The following is a 9,094-nucleotide window of genomic DNA, read 5'->3' on the forward strand; positions in this document are numbered from 1 at the left end:
ACCTCGCCCGGCCTCCATTTTTTTTCAATTCAGCATAATTTGTATTGTCTCTGAAACTCAGCTTCCTCATCTGTGAAATACAGATAATGATGCCAGCCTTACTTGTGTTCAGAGGTTGTTGTAAGACTCAAATAAGATTGTGTAAGCTAAAATACATTACAAACTGTAGAACCCTCTACAGGGTATAAGGAATAAGCGCTAGAATTATTATTACCTCCTTCCATCCCCTCTTATATAGAAAATTTAGATTATAGTCCCCTTGTTACTATTTCAATCTATGTTTTTTGTTGTTGTTTTTGTTGCAAGTACTTGGAATCCACTCAAAGTAGTTTAAGCATAAATATGGAATCGAATTTGAAAGATCCAGGAGTGTCTCAAGAAGCTCAGAATTCACAGGCAGGAAAGGCACTTGCGCATCATAAGGTGGTAGAAAAAGGAACTGAAAAGGCATTGGGAGCTGTGGCCATGAGAGTGCACTGCTCACATCTCTGAATGCAGGGGAGCGTAACATGGCCCCCTGCTGCTGGGCTATGAAATTCTGCCACTGCATTTGCACTGAGACCACCCTTCTTGTGAGCTGCTCCCACCCGGTGACTGAGTGCAGGCCTGCCATACTAAGGCAGGCCCATTTCTGGGATATGGGGACTCCTCTGACAGGTGGCTTTGGCACAAGCACACCTCATCAGCTCTTGCAGAGCTTTCTTAGAACTACACTACGTTCTAAGCTGGGCATGGTTAGGCATGTGTAGTCCCAGCTACTCAAGAGGCTGAGGGAGGAGAATTGCTTGAGCTCAGGAGTTTGAGGCCAGCCTGGACAACAAAGGGAGACTGTCTCTGAAAAAGAAAGAACTACACTGCGTTCTAACACCTCCTCAACCCAGCCCTCCTCCATTCCTGTCTCCTGGCAGGGGCTACACCTGCATTGCAGCTCTCCCAGGCTCTTCCGGCTTCCTGCTATTCGCTTCACAAGTGTTTTCCCAGCACATCTCTTGCACATTTAGTCCTATCTGGGCATCTTCTCAGAGGACTCAAACCTTAGGACAGGAACCTAAGTAATTCCTCTTTTGCAACTCCAAGTCTATGTGGACTCTTATTTTCTTTCTACTTTTCTACTTCCTTTCTGCTTTACTCTTTCACCCAACCCCTACCTAATCTTCTCAGCTTTTCCATTTATATAAAGAAAAATGTCTGACCCAGTTTCTAAATTTACAAATCCTTCCAGTTTGAGCACTAATTGACACTGATGTCTTTGAATCCTCACTTCAAGCTCCCAAAAGAAAGAATCAAGTGCCTTCACTTGGATTAGGAGCTCATCCCCGGTCCGGTTGTGGTAATTATGGCCAAGGAGACAGGTCTCATGATACAGACAGTATTACTGAGATTCACATCTCAGCTGATGACTTGCTTTGTTTAATGAGAAAATGGAAGCAACTCAGGCCAGGTGCAGTGGCTCAAGCCTGTAATCCCAGCACTTTGGGAGGCCAAGGCGGGAGGATCACTTGAGCCCAGGAATTTGAGACCAGCCTAGGCAACATGACAAAACCCTGTCTCTACCAAAAATAATTTAAAAATTAGCCAGGCAGGGTGAAGCACTCCTATGATCCCAGCTATTTGGGAGGCTGAGGTGGGAGGATCACTTGAGCCCAGGAGATTGAAGCAGTAGGAGTTAGTGAGCCATGATCTCGCCACTGCACTGGGCAACAGATTGAGACCCTGTCTCGGAAAAAAAAAAAGAAACAACTAGACCAGAACTGCCTCATTTTCCCATCACCAAATCTACCAGCCTATACCTGGACACACACTGCCTTTGTTCCTTTTAAGATGAAAGCCCACCAAATGAGTGTGCTCCCTGGGGTGATTTGTTATTCCACAGTAGATAACTAATATAACCAGCCAACATAAGAAAGAAAAGGCAGACTGGGTACAGTGGCTCACGCCTGTAATCCCAGCACTTTGGGAGGCCAAGGCAGATTGATCACTTGAGGCCAGGAGTTCGAGACTACCCTGGCCAACATGGTGAAACCCCATCTCTACTAAAAATACAAAAAAATTAGCCGGGCATGGTGGCACACACCTGTGGTTCCAGCTACTCGGGAGGCTGAGGCATGAGAGTCATTGAACCCGGGAGGCGAAGGTTGCAGTAAGCCGAGATTGCATCACTGCACTCTAGCCTGGGCAACAGAGCGAGACTCTGTCTCTAAATAAATAAAAATACTGCATCCCAGGGGAATGGCAGAGATTAATGCCACCTTCAAGAACAAAGGATGCAGGGGTAGTGTCCTCCCTCAAATCTCCACTTAATTCACCCATCTGGACCCTACGAGATCCAGGTATGTCCTGTAGTGTGAAAGTAGACTACAACAAACGAACCGAATATCCCAATTGCAGCTACTGTGCCAGATGCATCCATGCTAGAGTGGATTTACATAGTCTACACAGTGTGAGGGAACTGACCACTGATCTGGCAAATGCACAATTTCCCATCCCCACCAAAAGGAAGATCAGAAACAGTAGATTCACTTGGAATTGACAAAAGTATATATTTATGGTTTTCCTACAGGGCTGTGTTAACTCTGTCAAAATACAGTCTAAAGACATAAGAACTGTCTGAATATTTCTTAGAACTTCGTATTAGTTCCTATGTTGATGATATCATATGCATCTTGCTAATGAGGCCAGGTGAGCAAGAAGTGTCAAGTACTTTGGGTGAGACACATACACTCTAGGAAGTGGAAGAAACGTCCTATGATATACAAGAGCTTGCCTCATCAGTGAACTTTTTAGGAGTCCAGTGGTCTAAGCGTGCTGAAACATTCTAAAGCAAGGAACAAATTACTGAAACTCATACCTACCACAGGGAAGAGGGAAGCACAACTTCTAGTAAATCCATTCATATTTTAGAGGCAGCATATTCCACAACTGGGAATACTGCTTAACCTAACACCTGGTAACACAAGAGGCTGCCATCTTTGACTGGGGGGCCCAGAATAGGAGAGAGCTCTGCAGCAGGTCCGGTTGCTACAAGTGGCAGACCCTACAGTCTTGATGTTTTAATTGATCCTCATCATTTCTCTTCCTCTGCTGTCCATTTTAGATTCCCCTTAACCTCAGGAAGCACCTCTGCTAAGGCTCTGGTCATTCCATTATATTACAGGTATCCAAGGTGGAGTTTCTAGCAAGCCCCAGCAGGACAATCACAATATAGGTCTTCAGGGTTCTGGAGCAAGACCATACTATCTGCAGCAGAGAATTAGACACCTTTTGAAGAATAGCTCCTGAAGGGCTACTAAACCCTGGCAGAGATGGAACACTTCACCAAGGGGCACCAAGTGACCACGTGTCTAGAACCGTTCGTTATTAGTTAGGTTCTGCCTATCAAACTCACCAAGACATAAAGTTGAATGGGCCTAGCCATAATCCATAGTAAGATGGAAATGGTATGTCCAGAACTGGGCATGAACAGAGCTACACAGTCAGATGGCCTAGACACACATGTCACCTGCCAGTGTGGCACCAGTGCTTCTCCCTCAGCTCATGCCTGTGGCTGCACAGGGGGGCAAAGTCCCTTTATGATCAGCTGACAAAAGAGGAGAGCCTTTGCTTTTTCTTGATTCACAGATGGGTCAGACAGGTATATGGCTGCAAGCCAAAAATGAGCTGTGACTACAATACAGCCCACCATAGGCTGATCTTGACAAAGAGTGGCAAGGGAAATCCCCCCAGTGGATCAGTCCTCTCACTGGTGCATCTGTTCATCCACTTCGTATGGAAAGACATGTAGCCCAAGGGTACACTTTATATTCATTCATGGCTACTAGTAACTGCCTTGATGGGTTGATCAGGGGTCTGGAAGGAGAAAGATTAGAAGATCAAGGACAAGGATGTCTGGGACAGAGGCATGTGGATGGACTATTTGAGTAGCTAGGAAGTGTGAAGAGGACCACCAGAAAGCATCTAACTTGAAAGAAACACCAAACAACCAGCTAGACAGAATGATTTAGCCAATTTGATGTCAACCAGATGCCATCAGCCACCCCAGAACTGACACAACGGGCATGTGAAGGAGCAACTGTGGTGGCAGGGATGGGGACAAACACATGGACCGTCACTCACAAGGGCTGATGTAGCTACCACCACTGCTGAATGTTCAGCCTGCCAGCAATGCATCAGTGCTGATCCTCGGAAATGGCAGTAGCTCTCAAAGTAAATAAGTAGCCGCTTGGTAATAAGTTGACTACAATGGGTCCCTTCCATCCTAGAAATGGCAGAAATTTATTTTGACTAGAATGGACACATGGTTTACCTTTTCTGCCTGCAGGGCCTCAGCCAACGCCACTATCTGAGGGCTTACTGAGTGTTTTACCCACTGACATAGGTTCCCACGTAACATCACATCAGACCCAAGGGCCCGTTCATTGCAAGGCGAAGGAGGCATGACAATGGCACGTGACCATGGGATCACTGGTCCTGTCACATTCTGCACCACCCAGAAGATACTGGCTTGAACGAAGAGAAGAAATGGGCTGTTGAAGGCGTAGCTGAGATGCCAGCTCAGAGACGATGATACCAAGTAAGGAGGGGTTACTACCTTCCAGGGCACAGTGTACACTCTAATCAACAACCAATAAGGCGCTATGTCCCACTGGGAGGAATATATAGGTCCAGGAACCAAGGGGTAGAGATAGGAGCGGCTTCACTTTACATTAATCCCATTGGGGTATTTCTGTTACCACAACTCTAAGCTTTGAGGGTTTTAGGTTCTGGTTCCCAATAAGGAAATGTTTCCATGAAGGGATACAGCAAAAGTACACCAAGGAACCAGTAGGCAAGAAGCAGGAGCCACCATCCTGGCAGGAGTAGTGGACCCTGCCCACCAGGAAGAGATGGGGCTGCAGTTGCACAGTGGGAGCCAGAAGGAATATGTCTTTGTACTCTTGCCCCTTGCTGATGATAAATGCACAGGTGCAGCAGCCATAGCCTGAAAAGGGTGTGGTGGCCAGGGGCTCAGCTGAGGTGCTTCCTGCAGGGAGGAGAATCTAAAATGGATAGAAGCCGAGGCGGGCTCAGTGGCTCACGCCTATAATCTCAGCACTTTGGGAGGCCAAGGTGGGAGGATCACCTGAGGTCACAGTTTGAGACCAGCCTGGCTAACATAGTGACACCCTGTCTCTACTAAAAAAAAATTACAAAAATTAGCCAGGTGTGGTGGCATGTGGCTGTAATCCCAGCTACTCAGGAGGCTGAGGCAGGAGAACTGCTTGAACCTGGGAGGCGGAGGTTGCAGTGAGCCGAGATCGTGCCATTGCATTCCAGCCTGGGCGACACAGTGAGACTCAGTCGCAAAAAAAAAGTAAAATAAAATAAAATGGATAGAAGTCCAGGTGCAGTGCTTCATACCTGTAATCCTAGCACTTTGGGAGCCTGAGGCAGGAGGATCACTCAAGCTCAGAAATTCAACATCAGCCTGGGCAACATAGTGAGACCTCATCTCTTAAAAAAAATTAATTAGTTGGGTGTAGTGGCACACACCTGTAGTTCCAGCTACTCAGGTGGCTGAAGCAGGAGGATCACTTGAGCTTGGGAAGTGGAGGCTGCAGTGAGCTGTGATCACACCACTGCACTCCAGCCTGGGCAACAGAACAAGTCTCTAAATAAATAAATAAAGATAAAATGGATAGAAGAGGGAGATGGGGAGTATCGGTGAGACCTCAAGAACAGCTGCAGTGGTGGGGGCTGTGGTCATCTGATGAACCATTAGTTTGTTCCAGAGAAAGACGAGCTGCTCCCAGAACTTACCCAGAGGAGTGGATCTGAGTGGCACAAGAGGCTGTGGACGCCCTGATAAACAATCCAAATCCCCCTCAAGACAGGCTCTGCCCCAGCTGCTGGGAGGATTGCTGGCTCACAGCCCTCCTCAGGAATTGCCCCCAAGTGAAGACAGCTTCCCCACCCAATGTCCCACCACCCCTCTGGGGACAGTGTGTACCCAGTGACTGGCTGAAGCTGGGGTACAAAGGTCTGGCCCCTCAGCTCAGTGGGGGCTGGGGGCATCTGAAGCTGGGACGGCCATGAGACTTTTCTAATGCTTCAACACCTTCCATGGGTTCAGCTGAGGGGTGTGTCGAGACTGCCTTGCAGCCCAGCTTCTCCCTGTGAGCAAGTCTGCTTCCTTCCCTTCTGTAGGTGCTGAACCTGAGAGCAGCCCCAGTACACTCCCTGCATGGGAATCTCCATCTCAAAGTCAGCCTCCAGGGAGCCCGCCCTGAAACAGATTCTGTCATGGAACTCAACAGAGTATCCTGGTGCGGATAACCAGTGTTGGGAGTTAGAGCACGGACTCTCTCCACCTGCACGGTGCTGGAGCTCTGCACACCCCCTCTGCAGCCATCCCTCGCCGCTGTCCCTTAGCTGACGCCCTTGCCCTCTGTGTGTCCTTCCTCATGGCCTGCAGGTTTCAGATCCCAAGCTACAGATCATGTCTTCTAGTCTGGGCTCTGGCAGAGAGTTCGGAAGCACTCTTATTATCTTAGCAGCAGCATGTGTGGAAATCATTTCTCATTACAGCGGAGGGCAGGCATTGTGCAGAGGGTTAAGTGGGCCTGCTTGAAGTTGGTTGTTGTTAGCTCTCATGTCTATGCCTTGGTCCCTTTCCCCTCAGGACTTGGAGAGCAAGCTGTTTGAGTCTGATGCAACCCCTGGGCTTTGACTATCATGCCAAAAGGCAGCAAATAAGTGCCTTTTCTTCCCTTCAGAATACATGGACAATCCAAAGCTCTATTAGTCTATTATTCAGAATGAAAAGTGTTTACAATATTCGTCCTCTTACTCCTCAGTATGTGAGACTGTTCCTCGTAGCAGGTAATTTCTTCCGAATTCAAAAACTCCTCATGGAAGCATCTGTTTTTGTCATCAAGGAGGGGGCTGTATGTGGAATTGCAAGGCCAAAGACATCTCGGGTCAACTCTTCTCAGGACCAGATCCAAGTCGCCAGTGAGAACACACATTCAGGCAGCCTCCACCAGCGCCCTGCCTCAGGAGCGAGGCTCCCTGCTTCATGTGGGCAAGAGCTGCCCTTGTTTTCCCAGCGGGCAGTTGGGGGTCTGGAGCCTAGGAAGCAAAGTGAAGCACACACTCCTGCTTCCTTCCTTCCCTGCAGTTGGTGAGTATCTGGCTCAGTTTAGGTTAATATCATCTCTTCAGCCTGGCCCAGTTTACCACTATGGGAAGGAGCCCAGCAGCAGGGGCTGCCAGACCTGGAAATAGATCTGCTCATTGCAGTGTGGCAGGTGCAGAGAAACAGAGCCAGCTATAGCTGGAAGAGAATCTTAGGGCACAGAGATGCACCAACATGTATGAACAAGTCGAGACCCAAGTACCAAGCTGTAGAGTTACTGCACCATAGCAACCCAGGCCAGCAGGCAAGGCAAGAGGGCAGTTATTACAGAGAGCCATGGGGCAAGAGTGGAGCCACCTTGACAGTGGGGGTGACCAGAAGCCACATCTAGGAGTGTTGGCCCAGAGTCTCTGCATTTCCTCCTGCTCAGGACCTTAAGAGAGGCCCATCTTAAATGCCACTGTCTCCATGAGCTTTTGGAAACCTTACCAGTTTCCTCCCCTGTTCAGGGAGTTCCACTAGGGTAACATTCCTGCCTTCTCTCCACCCCTCTATTACTTTGCCCCAGGGAAAATAAAAGATGACTGCTTGGATAGGTAGGTGGGGAGGGGAAACTGGTCCTGTGTAGGCCAGTGGGCCCCTCCATCACCTTGGGGGTGAGCTGCATGCAGGGTATAAAATCCCACTGCTCTCGCTGAGGGGGCTGCACTCCTGCAGGACTAAAGGAGGCTTTCTCTGGTTGAGGGCTACCATGGCTGGGCGGGTGAGCCTGCCTCCTAGTGGGATTTGCATTAGCAGCTCACTTAGTTCACAGGTCTAAAGCTGTGTCCTCCAGCCCAGCCCTCTAGCAGTAATTAAGAGGATATTTTGGTTCCTGTTGCCACTCCTTTGTTTTATTTCTCAGGGCCCTCAAAGACACCCCAGAATAGATTTCCTGTCCCCTTTAATCTTGCCCTTCTTTGAGTCCCCATTGCATTTTATGGTATATTTCTAGCATGACCTTTCATTCTTTCAGTAATTACCTCCTTATTTCCTTCACCCCTGCATTTAAAAAAAAATTTTATAGATGAGGTCTCACTCTGTCACCCAGGCTGGAGTGCAGTGGTGCAATCATAGCTCGCTGCAGCCTTAAACTCCTGGGCTCAAGCAGTCTTCCTGCCTCTGCCTCCCAAGTAGCTGGGACCACAGGTGCACATGACCATGCCCAGCTAACTTTTTTTTTCTTTTTTGTAGAGACGGGAGTCTTACTTTGTTGCCCAGGCTGGTCTCAAACTCCTGGCTTCAAGCAATCCTTCCACTTTGGCCTTCCAAAGTGCTGGGATTACAGGCATGAGCCACCATGCCCAGCCTCCTTCTCTTACTAGCTGAGAACTAAGAGAAGACACTCTGGAGACAGAGGAGGAAACAGTGACGATGCCACATGATGAATACATAATGGAGGGTGAAGACAAGGCTCCGTCAGGGGCACCAAGGAGGGAAACCCAGTTCTGTGGGGAAGGTATGGGGCAGCTTCACAAGCCCAGTGTCTGCTCCCTTTGTGGGAGACGTGTTGTTTCAGCATCCATTCCCCCTTCTTTTAGGAAAAGTGCTTGAATTTCCTTTTCATGGAACCACCCACCTCCCTCTCATCCATGCATTCTATTCCCAGTATCAGGGGTAGACAAGTGACTTCAGGCTTGGCCAATTAGGGTTCTGACTCTTGGTCAAATCAGAGTGAATCCTGAGTCATTTGTAAACTCCAAGGAAAGGGCTTGCTTTGTTTTCTGTTGAATGCAGTGCTCTGAGATAGCCGGAAATGAAACTGCTCTCTTGCCACACTGAAGGCTAGAGAAGGGCCTGGCCAGGAAATGATGCCAGTGATCAGGGGTGGAGCTGGAAGAGGGGGAGTGAGGAGGCCCAGACATCTTGGGAGCCCCAAATTCACCTCAGGATTTAACTTCTCCGCTGCTCAGCCAATAAATTCCTTTCTTCCATGACTAA

The 9,094-nt window shown here is 48.5% G+C and overlaps 1 long non-coding RNA gene across 1 annotated transcript in view, besides 4 other annotated features; it reads left to right on the top strand.

Annotated features, from left to right (window-relative positions):
* The window catches only part of STARD7-AS1 (STARD7 antisense RNA 1), a 34,208-nt gene extending 25,114 nt beyond the window's left edge, over positions 1-9,094 (top strand). Inside the window, exons 2-4 of the long non-coding RNA NR_046322.1 lie at positions 4,376-4,570; positions 6,184-7,159; positions 8,348-9,094. This is a non-coding gene — a long non-coding RNA (STARD7 antisense RNA 1). The remainder of the gene's footprint in view (positions 1-4,375; positions 4,571-6,183; positions 7,160-8,347) is intronic.
* Positions 493-562: an enhancer, noted in NCBI's record as "active region_16207". NCBI's record gives its function as "activates an Ori minimal core promoter by ATAC-STARR-seq in GM12878 lymphoblastoid cells {active_cell/tissue: GM12878}" and the evidence as "EXISTENCE:reporter gene assay evidence [ECO:0000049][PMID:35858748]".
* Positions 573-722: an enhancer, noted in NCBI's record as "active region_16208". NCBI's record gives its function as "activates an Ori minimal core promoter by ATAC-STARR-seq in GM12878 lymphoblastoid cells {active_cell/tissue: GM12878}" and the evidence as "EXISTENCE:reporter gene assay evidence [ECO:0000049][PMID:35858748]".
* Positions 8,305-8,564: an enhancer, noted in NCBI's record as "active region_16209". NCBI's record gives its function as "activates an Ori minimal core promoter by ATAC-STARR-seq in GM12878 lymphoblastoid cells {active_cell/tissue: GM12878}" and the evidence as "EXISTENCE:reporter gene assay evidence [ECO:0000049][PMID:35858748]".
* Positions 8,585-8,634: an enhancer, noted in NCBI's record as "active region_16210". NCBI's record gives its function as "activates an Ori minimal core promoter by ATAC-STARR-seq in GM12878 lymphoblastoid cells {active_cell/tissue: GM12878}" and the evidence as "EXISTENCE:reporter gene assay evidence [ECO:0000049][PMID:35858748]".

The sequence above is a fragment of the Homo sapiens genome, chromosome 2, assembly GCF_000001405.40.
Source record: "Homo sapiens chromosome 2, GRCh38.p14 Primary Assembly".
In the NCBI taxonomy this organism is placed as follows: Eukaryota; Metazoa; Chordata; class Mammalia; order Primates; family Hominidae; genus Homo; species Homo sapiens.